At 40.6% G+C, this 22,381-nt stretch overlaps 1 long non-coding RNA gene across 1 annotated transcript in view; it reads left to right on the forward strand.

The window, feature by feature from the left end:
- The first annotated feature begins 6,552 nt into the window (after window positions 1-6,552).
- LINC02548 (long intergenic non-protein coding RNA 2548) overlaps window positions 6,553-22,381 on the forward strand; it is a 63,617-nt gene continuing 47,788 nt past the window's right edge. The window contains exons 1-3 of the long non-coding RNA NR_149108.1: window positions 6,553-6,565; window positions 7,558-7,620; window positions 8,157-8,280. This is a non-coding gene — a long non-coding RNA (long intergenic non-protein coding RNA 2548). The remainder of the gene's footprint in view (window positions 6,566-7,557; window positions 7,621-8,156; window positions 8,281-22,381) is intronic.

The raw sequence follows: 22,381 nt of genomic DNA on the forward strand, positions 1-22,381 counted from the left end.
TCTCTGCATCCTCACTATCACTTGTAGTTGTCTGTCTTTTTAATTATGGCCATCCTAGGGGGTATGAGGTGGTATCTCATTGCAGTTTCGATTTACATTTCTTTGATGGCTAAGGATCTTAAGCATCTTTTTATGTGCTTATTGGGCCATTTATATGCTTATTTGGAAAAATGACTATTCAGCTCCTTTGCCTATTTTTAATTGAGTTGTTTTTTTTATCATTGGGCTATCTGAACTCTTTATAGAAGAGTTCTTTATACATTCTAGGTAGGAGTTCTAGATATATGATTTGCAAAAATTTTTCTCCCATTCTACAGATTGTCTTTTCACTTTCTTGACAGTGTTCTTTGAAGCACAGAAGTGTTAAATTTTGATGAACTAATTGATTTCTCTTGTTACTTGTGCTTTTGATATCCCCAGTGTATCTTGAATAACACATACACTACAGGAGCCCCTCCCAGACAGTATTGAAATATCATTGCCTTGACTCTTCCTGATTAAGACAGACCAAATTCCTTAGGTGAGTGGGAACAGGGAATAATCCTACTTTATTAAATTTGTATCCTAAATAGTTCCTGGTGGTTGTCCTTGTCTAGTAAAGTGGTTGAAGACATGGGCTCTCCAAATGGGTGCCTAGGCTAGAATCCTCTCTGCCATGATTCCTGCTACCTTGAGCAAATTACTTAGACTCACCAAGCCTCAGTGATCTCATCTATAAAATGGGGGAAATGGTAACCAATCAGCATTGTTGTGAGGATTAATTGGGTAATGCATATAAGGTGGTTCACACAGACCTTGCACATAATAAACATGTTAGCTATGCCGTTATTATCCTTAGTACCTGGGACAGAGAAGGCTGTCTGTAAGTGACTGCTGAATCAATGATTGAAAGAAGTATTATTGTGGAGAACGACCCAATCTCCTATTTAGAGTCACAATCCTGGTGCTCAGAATGGGCAAACAGAAACATTCACTCCCTTAGAAAGCAGGTAGGAGAAACTTCTTCAGTTTTATGAGGGTAGGGCAGAAAAGTCCCTGTGGGAGTTGACATCAAAAGGATTTGCCTGCTATACCAAAGGGATTTGACAGAAACTCCACTGGAGGCTTCCCGCAACCTCAGCATTTCCCTTATCTGGGGAGGTCTGTAAGGGTCCTGGGGACAGCATCTTCTGCTTCTCTTGCTTAATTGTCTCCTAAAAATCCAAAGAACATAGATAATTGTTCCAGGAGGAAATAGTGCTGGGCTTTGATTCTTACAGCTGGCATCAAAGCAGTGTCAGCATTTGTTACAAAGTCCCCTAACACACGCTTTGTCCCAGTGCTCCTCGCCTTGGGTCATTATTTCATGACGTTTGTTAAGAAATACGCTTTCTTTTTCACAGTCAGAAGTTTCTTCCCCAAAGCCTGCATCTCTCCTTGGTTTGTCTCAGTCTGTCTTGGTGGGATTGAAGCTGAGTTCATAGGACACTGAACTCATGTCAATTTTTTTTTTTTTTTTGAGATGGAGTTTCATTCTTGTTACCCAGGCTGGAGTGCAGTGCCGTGATCTCAGCTCACTGCAACCTCCACCTCCTGGGTTCAAGAGATTCTCCTGTCTCAGCCTCCTGAGCAGCTGGAATTACAGGCATATGCCACCAAGCCTGGCTAATTTTGTATTTTTAGTGGAGACGGGGTTTCTCTGTGTTGGTCAGGCTGGTCTCAAACTCCCGAACTCAGGTGATCCACCCGCCTCGGCCTCCCAAAGTGCTGGGATAACAGGCGTGAGCCACTGTGCCCGGATGCTTACGTCATTTTAGTTAATAGATGCTCCTGAGTAAAGGCAGATTCTGGTTCTGGGGTGTTACTAATGATAACAGGGCAAATAATTTTCAAATCTAGGTGAGTTAAAAGATCATCACAACAAAGAAAAAATGTAAAATGAAATTAGTTATATTACCAAAAAATGCAGATTAAGACTACTTTAAATTCAGTTTTTCCTACTCTTTGGGAAGCTCAAAAATTATTTTCCATCATTCCCCAAAAGAGGAAAGCAAGATGGCTACTTTGCTGGAGCTGCATTTATTGGACTTCCCCAGTGTGTCTCCTTAACAATCTGAAGGTGCTGGGGTGATAGCTTCCACAGAACGTCTAGAGCTGGGGTTCTGGGGCTCACCTGCATGAGATATGTAGTATGTTCTATGAACAAGAAAGAAATAGGGGCTTAGAGATCCTTGAAATGGAAGGGGATGTGTCAAAGCAGCAAGGGTGAGGCTTTCCATATTGATGGATGCTGCCCAGGAACCCAGTTGGAGTGAGGAGGAGCATAGAGAACAGCAGCATAAAAGGTTACAATTTCAAAATTAAGAAAAAAAAGTAACATCAGAAAAGTTATGGCAGTTCCTCAAAAATTAAACCTGGAATTACCATTTGACCCAGCATTTTCATTTCTAGATATATACCCAAAATAATTGAAAGCAGAGTCTCAAAGAGATATGTGTATACCCATGTGCATTGCAGCACTATTCAAAATAGCCAAAAGATAAAAGCAACTCCAGTATTTATCATTGCATAAAAGGGTTAACAAAATGTTGTATCTACAGTCACCCCTTAGTATTTGTGGGAGATTTGTTCCATGACCCTTGTCAGATAACAAAATCCATGGATGCTCAAGTCCCTTATATAAAATGATATTGTATTTGCACATAACCCATGCATATCCTCTTGTATACTTTACATCATCTCTAGATTACTTATAATACCCAAAATAATGTAAATGCAATGTAAATAGTTGTATTGTTTAGGAAGTAATAAGAAAGAAGTCTGTACATGTTCAATACAGATGTAACCATCTTTCTTAACAAGTATTTTTGATCTAAGTTTGGTTGAAGCCATAGATGCAGAACCCACGAATACAGAGGGCTAACTGCACATACAATGGAATATTATTCAGCCATAAACAGGAGTGAAATTCTGACACATGCTATAACATGAATGAACCTTGAAGGGCCTTGAATAATGTGTAAGTGGTTTGGATACTATTGAACAAGCATTTTCACTTCCGTTGTAATATGATTATGACCTATGGCTCCTAGGCCACAGAGCTGAGAGGAGCTCAGACTAATATCAGGATAATGGTCACAAATCACACCCTACCCTAAATGCAGTACCAATGGGAACTCTTCCACCAGCTGCACATGCACAGTTCCTTATACTCTTCTGTCAGTGCCTTGTTTCTGAGTATGCCATGGAAACAATGGGTGGGAGGGCAGTGTAGGATATTTCATCTTTTACTTCTCTTAGATTGCAGCATCTTTGCCTTTGGATTCAGCATGAGTTCAATGGAACGAGGGATAATCCACATAACAGTCGTCATGCTGTCTTTGGCTTCACTTACCTCCCCAACCGGCCTGCCATCTCTGAATCTAACTTGTGCTCTTTGCCTTTAGGGTGAATTCCTTCCCAGAAGACTCTTGGGCTCTTATTGCAAATACATTCGCAGTAGACTGGCGCCTCTAAGTCTAGTCATACCTCGTTCCTATGGTAACCACAGAGTGGCCTCCAGCTGGGACTCACAGCCATGTTTGCTTTCTGTTCAGGTATGCCCTCTCAGAAATGGGTTCATTTCTCACACTGAATGCATTTTCCACCAGATGTATCATGAAGACCAATTAGATGCTTTATTGTATGAATCATCTTAAGGCCACACATTCTCATGGCAATATCATCCTCATCAAGGTGAAAATTCATTCTTAGTTAGGTGGTTTATGTAAAAAGTGCAGACATATATACCATATATAAACAGATATACAGTATATCTGTGGTGTTAAAATTTCATAGGGAGGGTAATTAGGAAAAAAATGTCTAAAAAGGCTACTGAAGGAGACAATGAAAAACATTTGAGAAACATTCTCAAGGTCCCAAGATAAAAGGAATATTTGTAGAAATTACAAATATACTGTCTATATAATTATCTTTATGTCCACACTTAAGATTTCCATTTAAAAGAAATATTTGTAAAACAAATGTTGAGATTTCTGTTTTAGAATGTGTCTACAGATGTCAAATATGCCAAGGAAGCCTCTTATATAGGCTATATTTTGGGTACTTCATATATTTGGAACTCTAGGTTCTTTTTTTTTTTTTTTAATGAAAACATGCAATTTCCCAAATGGTTTCATTGACTGGTTACCATCACTGAATTTTAACTGAAAGCCCTTTGGGCAGCTGTGATCAATTAGATTTTGATTATTGGCTAATTATATGCATTTAAAATATATCCAAGAGACAGATAATACAGTTAAGTATAATAATTAAACTAATATTATGATTAAAAATATTTTAATCTTTCATCAGTTCAGAAGAAATGTAAGAAACATGTTTTATATATACAATTTACAAAGAGCTTTCCTATAAGCTCCACTTGATAACTGTGTAGCTCATTTGATCCTCATAACAGCCCCATGATGTAGGGTTATTATTTTACCATTATTTGCCTTAGAGATAAGGAAACTGAGGATCAGTCAGCTTGATTGGTTTGTTCAAGATGACTTAGCTGCAATGGTGCTTATTAGACAGTTTAGGCTGCCATAACCAAATGCCACAGAGTGAGCGGCTTAAACAACATAAGTTTATTTTCTCACAGTTCTGGAGGCTGAAGTCCAAGATCAGATGTTCCCAGGGTTGGTGTCCTCTCTTCCTGGCTTGCAAACGGCTGCCTTCCTCACATGACCTATCTTCGGTGCAAGCACAGAGAGAAAGAGAGAGATCTCTGGTGTCTCTTCCTCTTAGAATACCAGTCCTATCAGATTAGGGCCCCACCCTCATGACCTCATATAACCTTAATTGCCTCCAGAAAGCCCTCTGAGTACTGTCACATTGATGGTTAGAGCTTCAGCATATGGGTTTCTGAGGGACACAGTTCAGTCCATAACTGAGATTTGAAGTCCTCTGATTCCTAAGCCTACTCTTTCTGTCCCATCCCACAACCCCTTCACATGCTCGCATCCATCCCCCGAGAAAGGGCCAGACCCCTGGCAGCAAGCCTAGAGCAGGCAGGCAGCTGTCTGATCCTGGGGTGACAGCTAGAGTCAGTGGGAGGAAGGCATGCATTTTCTGCATCAGGGGAAGGGAGGGAAGTGGACAAGCCAGGCATTGATCCCCCTCGCGTGGCCGCTGCCTTAGTTCAGGAGCTCATTATCTCTTGCCCTGATGGCTGGAAGAGTCCCCTGCTTACTTTCTCTACCCCAGCCTTGCTCCACTCCATTCCATCCCCCAAAGAGACAACAGAGTCCTTTTTCTAAAATACAAGTCTAACCACCTCGTTACTGTGCTTAGAACGATTCCTTGTTTCTCACCAGCTAGGCAAAGCCTAATTCCTTAATTCTTCATTTAAGAGGCTTAATATGTCCTTGGCCAGGGCTATATTTTCAACATGATCTCCTCACGCTTCTCTCCTAACATTGAGCATTCCAGCCACACAAAACTCTTTGTTCTCTTCAACACACTGAGAAAATGCACATTTTTATTTCAAAACTCAGTTCAGAAGGTACCACTTCTAGGAAGCGTTCCTAGAAATCCTCCCTAAAAACACAAGCAATTCTTGTTTTTCTGAAGCCATAATTTGATTATAAAGGTGGCATCTTAGTGCACGTGCCACTTATAAAAAACAGAAATGTATTTCTTAACAGTTCTGGAGGCTGGGAAGTATAAGATCCAGGAGCTGGCAGACTTGGTGTCTGGTGAGGGCCCTCTTTCTGGTTCATAAAAGTACCTTCTCACCTCACTTGGTGGAAGAATGAAGGCAACTCTTGGAGCTTCTCTTTTTTGGAGATGGAATCTCGCTCTGTCGTCCAGGCTGGAGTGCAGTGGCGCGATCTTGGCTCACTGTGCAACCTCCGCCTCCCAGGTTCAAGCAATTCTTCTGCCTCAGCCTCCCGAGTAGCTGGGACTGCAGGTGCATGCTGCCACGCCCGGCTAAGTTTTTGGATTTTATTAGAGGTGGGGTTTCACCGCCTTACCCAGGCTGGTCTCGAACTCCTGAGCTCAGGCAATCTGCCCACCTCGGCCTCCCAAAGTGCTAGGATTATAGGCGTGAGCCACTGTGCCCTGCCGGGGCTTCTCTTATAAGGACAGTAATCCCATTTACATTGGCTCCACCTTTGTGACCTAATCACCTCCCAAAAGGCCCCACGTCCTAATACCATCACATTGGGAGTTAGGTTTCAGCATAGGAGTTTTTAGGGCATGGAGAGGCACAAACATCCAGACAAGCATTTACCTTCTGCTGAAATTGTCTCAGTGTTTGCCTCTCCTAATGGAATATGGGCCACATGTACAGCAAGGGCTCAGCAAATGCTTGCTGAACAAACAAGTTTGAGGCAGGTTTCTAACTCAGGTAGATCGTTTCATCCTCTTCATCTCCCAGCAACCAAGAAAACCAGCCTATTGCCATGGGGGGGTCCTCCAACCCTGGCTATTCTCCAATGCTAAAGACTGACAGATAATCTCAATTAGCAAATTGACCCTTGTGGATTTTCTGCACTCATAGCAAATGTCTTCAGGAAAACTGAATTTCTCTCCATACCTGGTAATCACAACTTCATTCTCTCCTCTATTTGGAATAACTTCTTGTATGATTTATACAGTAGCCAAATTCCACGTAGCTTTTAGAACTCTGGGGGTCACTGAGGCTGATAGGAAGTCAGTCTTCCAAGCTTTTTTTACAGCAAGCCAAAGCTCCTGGAAGGTCAAACACCAAGTGCTGGTAAAACCCCTTTGGTCAGAGGCCACGCTTGGCTCTTAACTTACCACCTGCAGCCAATTTTCTCTTGAACTAATTGGTTGGCCAATGCATATGGCTGTTTTTCACTGACCAGCTGTTTAACTCAGTGGTCTATCACTCCCTTCCCTCCTTGAGATATACTAAATCTTCCACACATGCTTGCTACAGTGTGCTCCGATTCTACCCTTCATTCTCTTTCCTTTCTCCTACTCCTGGAGCAAGACCACCTTCAGGATTGATCTGATGGGAGAAAGAACCTACAGTGTAACCTCAAAATTATTCTGCTTATTATGGAAGAGAGGGATTGCAATCTGTAACAAAACTATCTTTCCTTTAGTGAAACACACGCACGTTCCCAAAGATTATGAAAATTATTCTTCATTTAAGACCAGAAGGTCTAGTCCACCCTATACCACAGGTGGCGAAGGTTTATGAATGGCTTCTGTATTCTGCCCAGCTTGCCCAGCCGCCTTTTGTTGGCATGGTGCCTTGGAACAAGACCCTCAGAGTGTTCCTTATGCTCATCCCTGTGGTAACAGAGAGCAACATTACTGAACCTTTGTTCTTGTATCCTTTCTTTTTGTCTCCTCTATATTTGATTCCCTGATTTCTTCTACTGAATATCACACCACAAAAATCCTCCACGTTTTTTACATAATCTTCATCAAGTGAATGACATTTTGGTTATTCTCCTTTTATTTACTAATTGCATGATCTTATTTTTCATTCTTGTATATAACACTTCAATGAATATATTCACAAATGTAGGTTTTTAAAAATTCTTTTCACTTCTCTAGGATTAATTTTCAGTAATGGAATGACTGGGTCAAAGGAGATCAACATTGCTGTGGCTCTTTCAGGTGATTATCATTTTGCTCTGTGTACACTGCCACCAGCTTTGTGCAAGGTACCAGTTGTAGAGCAAGATCACTGACATACACTTTCCATTTATCTTTACTAATTAAATAAATATAAAACAGGCCAGGTATGGTGGCTCACACCTGTAATCCCAGCATTTTGGGAGGCCGAGGTGGGAGGATGGCTTGAGCTCAGGAGTTTGAGACTATCATGGGCAACATAGTGGGACCCTGTCTCTACAAAAAGTAAAAAAATTAGCTGGGTATGGTGGCAAATGCCTGTGGTCTCAGCTACACAGGGGACTGAGGCGGGAGGGTCGGTTGAGCCCCAGGGTTTGAGGCTGCAGTGGGCTGTGATTGTGCCACTGCACTCCAGCCTGGGTGACAGAGTACATCTGTCTCAAAAACTAAAATTTACAAATACATATAAAACATTATTTTCAGTTCCATTTTGATTTCTGTTTAAGTCATGGCCAGCAGTTATTAAAGTATGGTCAACTTAGACTTTTTGGCATCACTCACCAAACTGCTATTTCCAGGTTCTCTTAAATTCCATGGATTTTAACTTTGGCCCATGACCTCCTTGACCTCTGGAAATGTGACATCCTGCACCTGCTGCATCAGGGCTCTTCCCTGGTCTTGCCTACACTTGTGTCTACACAGGTAACATCTCTCTAGATCATGTATCAGCTCTGCCATGAGAGATAAGCCTAAGTCTGCATTTTTTTTCCCTAGAAACGTGTTTCAACTCTTTTTTCCCAAATGTTTGGGATTATGGTTCTATACCAACGATGCCGTCAGAACCCAAAATAGTTTAAAATTTTTCCTTTGGAAATTGCTTTCAAAGCCATTGGCATGTTCTTGTGAATATCCTTATTGGTGGCAAAACTTGATATTTAAAAGGTAGATTTTATTTTCTGGAAGGAAACTAATTTTTTTTTTACATATGGTCTATATCAGAAAGTATCCTGTTAGAAACCTGGTTATTGTTTTAGCTATTTGCCAGGTGGAGGAGAACTGAAAAGCCAAAAGGGGGATACTGAGGTATCACAAAGGCAGTAGCTGCCAGAAGCTACCCTAGGGATGGGGGAACAAACGAAAGATGTAGGGATTACTAAAATGTAAACGCTTATAGGAGGGGTCTGCAGAGTTGGGGCTTAGCCCTCTAAGGATTAGGCACTTCTCAAATAGACCAAGGGCTCTGAGCTTGGAGCCTGCAGAAGAGGCTCCACGGAGCTGAAATTCTGACTTCAGAGGAGCAGGTGTGGTGGCTGCTGCTGTATTTCTGAGAGGCACCAGGAAGCTGGTTCTAAAAGTGTGGAATGATTGCAAACTAGAACGGCCTGTGCTCCTGGAATCCATTGCTGTGCTGCCAGGGCGAAGCAATGTTGCTGGTGGCAATGCTGATAGGATCAGGTAGCAATTGGCAAGGAGGAAGTGTCCTTCACTCCTCCAACGTTCAAACTGCTGTGGCATACCTGACAGGAAGAGCCTGACAGGAGCCAGCAAAGGGAATTGCAGAGGCTAGTCCCAGCATCAGAAAGCAGAGTGAAGAAGAGAGGATTGGAGTCAGGATGCAATCACTTAATAACCAGCAACCCACTGTGTACCAGGCACTCCAGAAGCATTTTAACAGCTCCTTTAGTTCTCATGCCATCCCTGTGATTGAGAAACTCTTGACTATTTTAGGGATGAGAAAATGGAGGCCCAGAGAGAGTAAACAGTAGTAGTGGCACTAGAATGAGAACAAACAGCTTGTCCCACTACATCTTCTAAAGCTGAGCTTCCTTCTGGATGATGAAGAGAGAAATTTTTTCTTTCCTGAGGGGAGCTGTAACGAGGGTAGATGAGGGGGAGAAGGGTGATATGGTTTGACTGTGTCCCCACCCAAAATCTCATCTTGAATTATAATCCCCATAATCTCTATGTATCTAGACAGAAACCAGGTGGAGCTAATTGAATCATGGGGTTGGTTTCCCCCCATGCTGTTCTCGTGGTAGTGAGTGAGTTCTCACGAGATCTGATGGTTTTACAAGGGGCTCTTCCCTGTTCACTCATCACTCTTCTCCCTGCTGCTGCCACGTGAAGATCCTTGCTTCCCCTTTGCCTTCCGCCGTAATTGTAAGTGTTCTGAGGCCTCCCTAGCCATACGGAACTGTGAGTCAATTAAACCTGGTTCCTTTATAAATTACCTAGTTTGGGCAGTTCTTTATAGCACAGTGAGAATGAACTAATATAAAGGGAAAGGGCCAGATGATGGCATAAGACTATGTTGTGTGCAATATGATCTTTCCTTGTGACCCACTGCCCAAATCCTTAGGAAATTCTACCCAACTCACAGAACATTTGGAGTAAGTGGATTTCTTGTGAAAACTGGTAACAGACCCAAACTTTGCACCAGGGAAGACATGAGGAGGAACAGAGACGGCATCTGTAGACTCCGCACAAGAGTGAGTGAGGGCAAGCCCTGTAGTTGCAGAGATCTCTGGAAGTTTTATGACTTCACTTATGTAATTGGTCTGTAGCTTAAGGCTTGAGATGCCCTGACATTTAAATTATGCCCATTTTGCAGATGGAGAGATCGAAGCCTAGAAAAGTTAGATAACATAACTAAGATCATATAGCTCTTAAGTTGTAAAACTTGGATTTGAAGACAGTTCTGCCCGATTTCAAAAATGAATGGATGAGAGAAGCCCCAATAGTACTGTTACTTACCGTTTATACAAAATGTATTACATACCTGGAATTATGCTAAGTGCTTATTTTGTTTAATCTCACAGTTCAGTGAGGTAGATATTACGCCTGTTTTACAGATTAAAAACTGTGGCTGAGACAGGCTCAATTGTGCCTTATTCACAGCTAGCAGTAAGTGAAGTTGGAATCCTCACCTAAGTTCACTGGAAATCTCATGCTCTTAACCAGTGCTTCTCAAAATGAGCCTGAGAATCACTGAAGGATCTTGTTCAATGCAGATTTCTATTCGGTAGATGTGGGGTAGGGCCTAAGATGGTGCATTTATAATCAGCTTCCAGTAAGCCAATGCCACTGGTCCATGAACCTTACTGAGTAGCAAGGCTCCTAGCAAGAATATCACACTGCTTCCTTAATCTGCCCAGCCCACCTCATCATTTTCAGATTGACTCACCATTGAGACTCCAAGAAGCCTCTTGGTCAAGCTCAGTTATGATGTGACACCCAGAGCTTGTCCTTCTTTCTCTTTCCTTCCTTTGAAATTTTTCAGAGTAAAGTAAATAACCAAACAAATCCATCATCTGGCAGGTCATTAAGAAAAACATGATTTTTCCCCCCTGTGACTACACTCAATTAATGAAGCTGTCATTAAAGCCCATGAACATGTCAAAAAATTAGTTTCAGGTGTTGGATTGTTTGGTTCTAGGATACTTTCTATATTTTTAATGAGGAGTATTTGAAATATCACCCTTCTCCTCCATCAGGGGCTTCCGGCTCAGGATACCTAAGAAGCCTGACATATTGGGGGTCAGTGGGGGTATTTATGGGAAGCATCAAACATCAACTCATTGTTGTCTCTTTCCATTACCAAAGGCTGCTCATTGAGAATGTTTTCAGAGCCATGGTATTTCTTTGGGGAAAAAAAGGGAAATGTAGCTTGTGAAAAGGGTTGACAACTTCAACAAAGGAACCAAAGAGTGCTAACCAGGGATCTCCCACTGATGGTGATGTTTCCATAAAATGGAAAGCCTTAAGGAAGATTCATTTTTTTTCTCCCTAAGAAAGAACATATGTTTTTAAACTTCTTGTTAAAGGAAATATTTTATTCCAAGAAGTAAATGAGGTGGGTTAATACTTTAAAATAATAACTGACATGTTTTACCTCTACAATTTCTCTTCCCTTCCTTTCTCCCCGCCACCAAGCCTCTCTTAAACTAGACTTCAGCATTCTCATCCCTCAAGTTGGATTGTTATGGTAGAAATGCAAAGAAAATAAAATATGTAATTTTGTTTTGTTTTGGAACTTTAAAGCTGGGCCTGAGCTTCAACAATAACTTTGGAAAAACACGTATAGAGTAATTGCTTCCCTTCCACACAGGGGAGCTACAAGTGTCTGGGCTGGAGCATTGAGGAAGTGAGTCAGGAAAGAAAAGTTAATTGCTGGTAGGGATGTCTGAGAAGGTACCTTGTTTTGTACTCCACTCCATGGGGTATGGGGGAGGGGGAAACAACAAACTGAGATAATGGTCCTGCTTGGCATTCATTATGTTCTGCTCTGTAAGAAGGCTTTGGGGACTTCTTATGTATCTTTTCAAATATCCCTTTCTATTCTCCATGTTGTGCATGTCAGCAATTTGGTAGTTTTTATTGTTGAATAACATACCATTGTACAAATATGTTATAGTTTGTTATCCATTCAGCTTCTCATGGACATTTGGGTTGTTTCCATTCTCATCACTTGCTTTGGCTAATGGAATGAGGTGGAAGTGAGGATGTGCTAGTTTCAAGCCTAGGCACAAGAGGCCATACATACTTCTAATTGCTTCCCAGAGATTTTGCCATCCCCATGAAAAGAACATGCGGGCTGGCCTGTTGGCTTAGACAGTGAGAGACACAGGAGTAGAGCTTAGCCTTAACCTGCCAACCTCCAGATCTGTGATTTAAAAATAAATAATTGTTTTAACCCACTGAGATTTGGGAGGCGGTTTGTTACACAGCAAGGGTTGACTGATACAGCCACTCTTCATCACTAGCGATTGAATGGATGCTCAGGACCTAGCTAGCTGGTACTCATTATGGTAGGCTTCCCTGCTTTTTGGGGCCAAAGTACTAACTGGACCATGCCCACTCTCTTCCAGCTGTTGCCATTACTTTATTCCCCTTGAAACGGTAACAATTTATATCAATTAGGGTGTCAGCTTGATGAATGTGCTCATGGAGTTGTCCTGCCACACTTCTAATTAAAAAAGCTCAGGCATCCTGGGTGCTCCATCTGGCCAGAGAGTATACAGTGTTGGGAGAGGGGCAACTTAATTGTGGCAATGGGGCGGGACCTGACCAGTTGCAGTTCTCTGTGAGGATTGCCCAGAGCAATGTGGAGTGGGGTGTAAAGTGAAAACCTCTGTTAGTATGCAGCACCTTAATACTGACCCCAGCATCCATCCATGCTTTTGGATGGAATCAACTTCTGCTTGTCATTCCTTTCCTCTTACAACTTAACTACATTCAATCTGTCAAGGATGACACTTCTGAGACTGACATTATGTAAGTCTCTTTATAGATACAATTTTTCTTGGCATTTTCAATTTGGTAGGGGAGAAGAGGAACAGCGTCAATTTGTAGTTTTCCACCTTTCCTGCAATGGGAGGTTCCAATTTTTCCCCTGTGTTTATTCTGATGTGTGTGTTTGTGTGTGTGTGTGTACACATGCACACAATATGTAAATATTTCTGTGTGTACATACATATAAGTATGCATACACATGTTCGCTACAGATAAATCAATACTTATACGTGTATGTAGGTAGATATATATACACACATGTATAGGTATGTATTTATACATCATATATGTATATGTAGATATACATATTATATATAAGATATTTGCTCATGATGTATTCATTAGTCTTCTAGTGTTTTCTCACCTCTGCCAAATCTGGAAGAGGCAGGCTAGATCACTCGTAACATTTGCAAGGCCTAGGGCAAGAGTAAAAATGAAGGCTTACTTATCAAATGACCACATATTTAGAAGCTATAAGTCAAGTTAATAAACTGTTAAGTAAAATGTTTTATCTTCTTACCTTGACAATTTTATCTTTATAATAACCAGAAAGGCCAGGTTCAAATGTAGAATTCTTGTATCCCTCAGAGCTCTGTACCATAAGTAATGGTATGGGAAAAGCTAGTACCTGGCCCAAGGTCTGCCCTCCTTATCTTCTCATCTGCCATGACCTGAATGTTGTGGCCACTCAGAATTTGATCATGGGTCTTTGAGATGTGACTGGATCATGAGGATGGAGCCCTCATGAATGGGAGTACTGCTTTTATAGAAAGAGGTCCTGGGGAGCTGCCTTGTTCCTTCCAGCATGTGAGGATTCAGTAAGAAGGCACCATCTATGAACCAGGAAGCAGGCCCTAACCAGACACCAAATCTGCCAGCACTTTGATCTTAGACTTGCTAGACTCCAGAACTATGAGAGATAAATTTCTGTTGTTTTTAAGCCATCCTGTTTATAATATTTTTTTCTAGTTGTACAGACTGAGATATCACTTCTTACTAGTGCACATGTTAACTAATGCATTCAAGCTGCATTTATACTCTCTGCAATGAGTCACTCTTGACTATACCTTGAGTCTAGGTATGGGCATTCCAACAACACAGTCCACTCTTGTGAGAATGGAAAGAGGCCTGTGAAGGCCAGGTAGGTGGCTTCAGGAATAACTGGGCATGGAATTCCAGGGTCCTAAACACCCAGAGTGTGGTCTATAAGCAGGGAGTGGGTCTAGGGCAGGACTCCAAATGGGCAAATCTCCTTGACCCCAAAGACATCTCAACTTATGGAGAAGAGCATAGCCAGCAGAGGACAATATATATATTGCTAACAGTGCTATAGTGCTAGTGACACTTCAATGAGGTATAAATCTGCCTCAATCATAATATATTATTTTTTCAATACACCAGCTGTGAATATTCTCTTTAGAATTTTTTTGCATAGCTATTCATAAGTCAGATTAGCTTACTTTCATTTGGATGCTACTTACTAGGCTTGGGTATTAAGTTTATATTAGATTTATTAAATTATTTGGGAAACTTTTCACTTACATATTTTGGAACAGTTTGAATAATTTAGATAGGATTATATGATCCTTAATAGTTTAGTTAGAGCTTCATTGTAAAATAACCACTCTATTCTTTTTAATTTTCATTTTTTAAAGTGGTAGATCTTTGAAAAACCTTTTTAATCTGTTGTGTTCAGGTAGGCTACTTTTTCTCGAGTCAATTTTGGTAATTTATACTGTGCTGGAAAAATTATCCATATCACCTAGATTTGAAATTTTATTGACAATATTTTACATAATATTTTATAATTACTTTTACTATTTTCATAACTATGATTATATCTTCTTTTTTATCCCTGATGTACATATTTGTCCTGCATTTTTTTCTTAGTCAAACTTGCAAAAGTGTTGGGCTTATCTATCATTTCTGCTGGTATTTTGTTTTGTGATTATTTCAGCTTTTTGTCTTTATTGATTCCCTCATATTTCTTTTACTTTGTTTCTGTTTTAATATCTTACATTGAATACTTAGTTCATTTGTGTTGACATTTTTGAATACAAACATCTAAGGCTAGAGAAGGGTGCAGGGTCGTAAATAGGGAACGAAGCCAAGGGTCAGGAGGAGGACAGAAAAAGAGGTGAAGAGAAGGGGTAGGGAACCACCTGAGGGACTTGGAGTGTTAATGACAAGTGGCATAGAATGTCTACAACTTAGTTGTCTGGGTCACATGTCACAAAACACTGCCATCAGGACACTCTGCCTGCCTCCACAGGTGCTGCATCCAATTCTTGTCTCCATTTTGGCCATGAGCACAACAGAAATCCGAATCAACAATGTATATTGCATTTTTGATCCAAGACTTCTAGTTTCATAGTTCAATAAAAAAATTTAAGTAGGAACAACAAAAAGTTCTGCCAATTTTTATATTGTGAAGTAAGGATTAAATATACATGCATAACAATTTACTAACAGCTATTTCACCAGACTTAGGACATTCAAACATACAAAAGTGAGAAGGTGAAAATCACAACATAAGTTTTATTGAGTTTACAATGTGGTTTGCAGAATCCCAGTTCTAGCATCACAAGGCAAAATATAAAAGGATGAGTTTGAAGCTGAGTTATAATAGCTTAACAATCATCTCACTTGCTGGACATGGGGGAAACTTGGTGAGCCCTACTTGATTTAGGTTTAGGTCCCCAATTTTGTGTTCTAGAAGTAAGCATGAAATGGAGTTTGTAAGTCCATCACAGAGACTATAATGCAGCTTTGATTTATCCCAATCCTTGAAAATTAAGGTGAATTAACAGTGCCAACACCTGGCAGTGGCAAATACCAATCCTCCCAGGAAGAAAGGATAATGTATGTCACAAATTTTTTCCCAAAGAAGTTTTGTAAAGAACGGCATCCTGGACTGAATAAAAACAATCCAGGAACACAAGGAGACAAAACAATAAGAATGAAAGCTACTAGAAGCAAAACTGATAGGGCTTCATATATTGGAGTTATCAGATATAGACACTTAAATAATGGTGATTATGATATTGAAGGAAATAAAATGCAATTTCTTGAGCTTAAGCAGAGAATTGAAAGCTATTTTATTTATTTATTTTTTATTTATTATTATTTTTTTATTATTATACTTTAAGTTTTAGGGTACATGTGCACATTGTGCAGGTTAGTTACATACGTATACATGTGCCATGCTGGTGTGCTGCACCCACTAACTCGTCATCTAGCATTAGGTATATCTCCCAATGCTATCCCTCCCCCCTCCCCCCACCCCACAACAGTCCCCAGAGTGTGATGTTCCCCTTCCTGTGTCCGTGTGATCTCACTGTTCAATTCCCACCTATGAGTGAGAATATGCGGTGTTTGGTTTTTTGTTCTTGCGAGAGTTTACTGAGAATGATGGTTTCCAATTTCATCCATGTCCCTACAAAGGACATGAACTCATCATTTTTTATGGCTGCATAGTATTCCATGGTGTATATGTGCCACGTTTTCTTCATCCAGTCTATCATTGTTGGACATTTGGGTTGGTTCCAAGTCTTTGCTATTGTGAATAATGCCGCAATAAACATACATGTGCTTGTGTCTTTATAGCAGCATGATTTATAGTCCTTTGGGTATATACCCAGTAATGGGATGGCTGGGTCAAATGGTATTTCCAGTTCTAGATCCCTGAGGAATCGCCACACTGACTTCCACAATGGTTGAACTAGTTTACAGTCCCACCAACAGTGTAAAAGTGTTCCTATTTCTCCACATCCTCTCCAGCACCTGTTGTTTCCTGACTTTTTAATGATTGCCATTCTATCTGGTGTGAGATGATATCTCATTGTTGTTTTGATTTGCATTTCTCTGATGGCCAGTGATGATGAGCATTTTTTCATGTGTTTTTTGGCTGCATAAATGTCTTCTTTTGAGAAGTGTCTGTTCATGTCCTTCGCCCACTTTTTGATGGGGTTGTTTGTTGTTTTCTTGTAAATTTGTTTGAGTTCATTGTAGATTCTGGATATTAGCCCTTTGTCATATGAGTAGGTTGCGAAAATTTTCTCCCATTTTGTAGGTTGCCTGTTCACTCTGATGATAGTTTCTTTTGCTGTGCAGAAGCTCTTGAGTTTAATTAGATCCCATTTGTCAATTTTGGCTTTTGTTGCCATTGCTTATGGTGTTTTAGACATGAAGCCCTTGCCCATGCCTATGTCCTGAATGGTAATGCCTAGGTTTTCTTCTAGGGTTTTTATGGTTTTAGGTCTAACATGTAAGTCTTTAATCCATCTTGAATTGATTTTTGTATAAGGTGTAAGGAAGGGATCCAGTTTCAGCTTTCTACATATGGCTAGCCAGTTTTCCCAGCACCATTTATTAAATAGGGAATCCTTTCCCCATTGCTTGTTTTTCTCAGGTTTGTCAAAGATCAGATAGTTGTAGATATGCGGCATTATTTCTGAGGGCTCTGTTCTGTTCCATTGATCTATATCTCTGTTTTGGTACCAGTACCATGCTGTTTTGGTTACTGTAGCCTTGTAGTATAGTTTGAAGTCAGGTAGTGTGATGCCTCCAGCTTTGTTCTTTTGGCTTAGGATTGACTTGGCAATGCGGGCTCTTTTTTGGTTCCATATGAACTTTAAAGTAGTTTTTTCCAATTCTGTGAAGAAAGGCATTGGTAGCTTGATGGGGATGGCATTGAATCTATAAATTACCTTGGGCAGTATGGCCATTTTCACGATATTGATTCTTCCTACCCATGAGCATGGAATGTTCTTCCATTTGTTTGTATCCTCTTTTATTTCCTTGAGCAGTGGTTTGTAGTTCTCCTTGAAGAGGTCCTTCACATCCCTTGTAAGTTGGATTCCTAGGTATTTTATTCTCTTTGAAGCAATTATGAATGGGAGTTCACTCATGATTTGGCTCTCTGTCTGTTGTTGGTGTATAAGAATGCTTGTGAGTTTTGCACATTGATTTTGTATCCTGAGACTTTGCTGAAGTTGCTTATCAGCTTAAGGAGATTTTGTGCTGAGACAATGGGGTTTTCTAGATATATAATCATGTCATCTGCAAACAGGGACAATTTGACTTCCTCTTTTCCTAATTGAATACCGTTTATTTCCTTCTCCTGCCTAATTGCCCTGGCCAGAACTTCCAACACTATGTTGAATAGGAGTGGTGAGAGAGGGCATCCTTGTCTTGTGCCAGTTTTCAAAGGGAATGCTTCCAGTTTTTGCCCATTCAGTATGATATTGGCTGTGGGTTTGTCATAAATAGCTCTTATTATTTTGAAATATGTCCCATCAGTACCTAATTTATTGAGAGTTTTTAGCATGAAGGGTTGTTGAATTTTGTCAAAGGCCTTTTCTGCATCTATTGAGATAATCATCTGGTTTTTGTCTTTGGCTCTGTTTATATGCTGGATTACATTTATTGATTTGCGTATCTTGAACCAGCCTTGCATCCCAGGGATGAAGCCCACTTGATCATGGTGGATAAGCTTTTTGATGTGCTGCTGGATTCGGTTTGCCAGTATTTTATTGAGGATATTTGCATCAATGTTCATCAAGGTTATTGGTCTAAAATTCTCTTTTTTGGTTGTGTCTCTGCCCGGCTTTGGTATCAGAATGATGCTGGCCTCATAAAATGAGTTAGGGAGGATTCCCTCTTTTTCTATTGATTGGAATAGTTTCAGAAGGAATGGTACCAGTTCCTCCTTGTACCTCTGGTAGAATTCGGCTGTGAATCCATCTGGTCCTGGACTCTTTTTGGTTGGTAAGCTATTGATTATTGCCACAGTTTCAGATCCTGTTATTGGTCTATTCAGAGATTCAACTTCTTCCTGGTTTAGTCTTGGTAGAGTGTATGTGTCAAGGAATTTATCCATTTCCTCTAGATTTTCTAGTTTATTTGCATAGAGGTGTTTGTAGTATTCTCTGATGGTAGTTTGTATTTCTGTGGGATCGGTGGTGATATCCCCTTTATCATTTATTATTGCATCTATTTGATTCTTCTCTCTTTTTTTCTTTATTAGTCTTGCTAGTGGTCTATCAATTTTGTTGATCCTTTCAAAAAACCAGCTCCTGGATTCATTAATTTTTTGAAGGGTTTTTTTGTGTCTCTATTTCCTTCAGTTCTGCTCTGATTTTAGTTATTTCTTGCCTTCTGCTAGCTTTTGAATGTGTTTGCTCTTGCTTTTCTAGTTCTTTTAATTGTGATGTTAGGGTGTCAATTTTGGATCTTTCCTGCTTTCTCTTGTGGGCATTTAGTGGTGTAAATTTCCCTCTACACACTGCTTTGAATGCATCCCAGAGATTCTCGTATGTTGTGTCTTTGTTCTCATTGGTTTCAAAGAACATCTTTATTTCTGCCTTCACTTCATTATGTACCCAGTAGTCATTCAGGAGCAGGTTGTTCAGTTTCCATGTAGTTGAGCGGTTTTGAGTGAGATTCTTAATCCTGAGTTCTAGTTTGATTGCACTGTGGTCTGAGAGATAGTTTGTTATAATTTCTGTTCTTTTACATTTGCTGAGGAGAGCTTTACTTCCAAGTATGTGGTCAATTTTGGAATAGGTGTGGTGTGGTGCTGAAAAAAATGTATATTCTGTTGATTTGGAGTGGAGAGTTCTGTAGATGTCTATTAGGTCTGCTTGGTGCAGAGATGCGTTCAATTCCTGGGTATCGTTGTTGACTTTCTGTTTCATTGATCTGTCTAATGTTGACAGTGGGGTGTTAAAGTCTCCCATTATTAATGTGTGGGAGTCTAAGTCTCTTTGTAGGTCACTCAGGACTTGCTTTATGAATCTGGGTGCTCCTCTATTGGGTGCATATATATTTAGGATAGTTAGCTCTTCTTGTTGAATTGATCCCTTTACCATTATGTAATGGCCTTCTTTGTCTCTTTTGATCTTTGTTGGTTTAAAGTCTGTTTTATCAGAGACTAGGATTGCAACCCCTGCCTTTTTTTGTTTTCCATTTGCTTGGTAGATCTTCCTCCATCCCTTTATTTTGAGCCTATGTATGTCTCTGCACATGAGATGGGTTTCCTGAATACAACACACTGATGGGTCTTGACTCTTTATCCAATTTGCCAGTCTGTGCCTTTTAATTGGAGCATTTAGTCCATTTACATTTAAAGTTAATATTGTTATGTGTGAATTTGATCCTGTCATTATGATGTTAGCTGGTGATTTTGCTCGTTAGTTGATGCAGTTTCTTCCTAGTCTCGATGGTCTTTACATTTTGGCATGATCTTGCAGTGGCTGGTACCGGTTGTTCCTTTCCATGTTTAGTGCTTCCTTCAGCAGCTCTTTTAGGGCAGGCCTGGTGATGACAAAATCTCTCCGCCTTTGCTTGTCTGTAAAGGATTTTATTTCTCCTTCAGTTATGAAGCTTAGTTTGGCTGGATATGAAATTCTGGGTTGAAAATTCTTTTCTTTAAGAATGTTGAATATTGGCCCCCACTCTCTTCTGGCTTGTAGGGTTTCTGCCGAGAGATCCGCTGTTAGTCTGATGGGCTTCCCTTTGAGGGTAACCCAACTTTTCTCTCTGGCTGCCCTTAACATTTTTTCCTTCATTTCAACTTTGGTGAATCTGACAATTATGTGTCTTGGAGTTGCTCTTCTCGAGGAGTATCTTTGTGGCGTTCTCTGTATTTCCTGAATCTGAACGTTGGCCTGCCTTGCTAGATTGGGGAAATTCTCCTGGATAATATCCTGCAGAGTGTTTTCCAACTTGGTTCCATTCTCCCCATCACTTTCAGGTACACCAGTTAGATGTAGATTTGGTCTTTTCACATAGTCCCATATTTCTTGGAGGCTTTGTTTGTTTCTTTTTATTCTTTTTTCTCTAAACTTTCCTTCTGGCTTCATTTCATTCATTTCATCTTCCATTGCTGATACCCTTTCTTCCAGTTGATCACATCGGCTCCTGAGGCTTCTGCATTCTTCAGGTAGTTCTCGAGCCTTGGTTTTCAGCTCCATCAGCTCCTTTAAGCACTTCTCTGTATTGGTTATTCTAGTTATACATTCTTCTAAATTTTTTTCAAAGTTTTCAACTTTTTTGCCTTTGGTTTGAATGTCCTCCCGTAGCTCAGAGTAATTTGATCGTCTGATGCCTTCTTCTCTCAGCTCATCAAAGTCATTTTCCATCCAGCTTTGTTCCGTTGCTGGTGAGGAGCTGCGTTCCTTTGGAGGAGGAGAGGCGCTCTGATTTTTAGAGTTTCCAGTTTTTCTGCTCTGTTTTTTCCCCATCTTTGTGGTTTTATCTACTTTTGGTCTTTGATGATGGTGATGTACAGACGGGTTTTTGGTGTGGATGTCCTTTCTGTTTGTTAGTTTTCCTTCTAACAGACAGGACCCTCAGCTGCAGGTCTGTTGGAGTACCCTGCAGTGTGAGGTGTCAGTGTGCCCCTGCTGGAGGGTGCCTCCCAGTTAGGCTGCTCGGGGGTCAGGGATCAGGGATCAGGGACCCACTTGAGGAGGCAGTGTGCCCATTCTCAGATCTCCAGCTGCGTACTGGGAGAACCACTGCTCTCTTCAAAGCTCAGATGGAAATGCAGAAATCACCCGTCTTCTGCATTGCTCAGGCCGGGAGCTGTAGAGCGGAGCTGTTCCTATTCGGCCATCTTGACTCCGAAAGCTATTTTTAAAAACAATAGTGGGTATTTTGGATATCAAAACCAAAATTAAGGATTCAGTGAATGGGTTTAACAGCTAATGAGAGAATTAATACATTGGAAGATAGTTTGAAAGAAAGCATCAGACTGAAATACAGACAAGTAGCAAAAACACAGAGTGAAAGATAAGAGGCCAGTGGGGGGTATAGGCATATCCTATATAGTTCTGTATTTGTATTACTGACATTTGTATAAGGGTTCACCTGAGAAACAGAACCAACAGGATATATACATAGAGATTTATTATGAAGGATTCACTCACAGAATTATAATAGAGGTTGAGAAGTCCCACAATCTGCCATCTGCAAATAGAGGCCTGGGAAAGCCAGTGGTGCAGTTCTAGTCCAAACCTAAAGGCCCTAGAATCAAGAACACTAATGTCCAAGGGCAGGAGAAGATGGATGTCTCTGCTCAAGAAGAAAGACTGAATTTGTCCTTTCTCTGCCTTTTTGTTTTATTCAGGCCCTCAGTGGACTGGAAGATACTTAGTCACATTGGTGAGGATCTTTACTCAGTTTACTGATTCAAATGCTAGTGTCTTCTCATTTATGCAGCCAACAGACACATGAAAAAATGCTCATCATCACTAGCCATCAGAGAAATGCAAATCAAAACCACAATGAGATACCATCTCACACCAGTTAGAATGGTGATCATTAAAAAATCAGGAAACAACAGGTGCTGGAGAGGATGTGGGGAAATAAGAACACTTCTACACCGCTGGTGGGACTGTAAACTAGTTCAACCATTGTGGAAGACAGTGTGGTGATTCCTCAAGGATCTAGAGCTAGAAATACCATTTGACCCAGCCATCCCATTACTGGGTATATACCCAAAGGA

The sequence above is a fragment of the Homo sapiens genome, chromosome 11 (genome assembly GCF_000001405.40).
Source record: "Homo sapiens chromosome 11, GRCh38.p14 Primary Assembly".
NCBI lineage: Eukaryota > Metazoa > Chordata > Mammalia > Primates > Hominidae > Homo > Homo sapiens.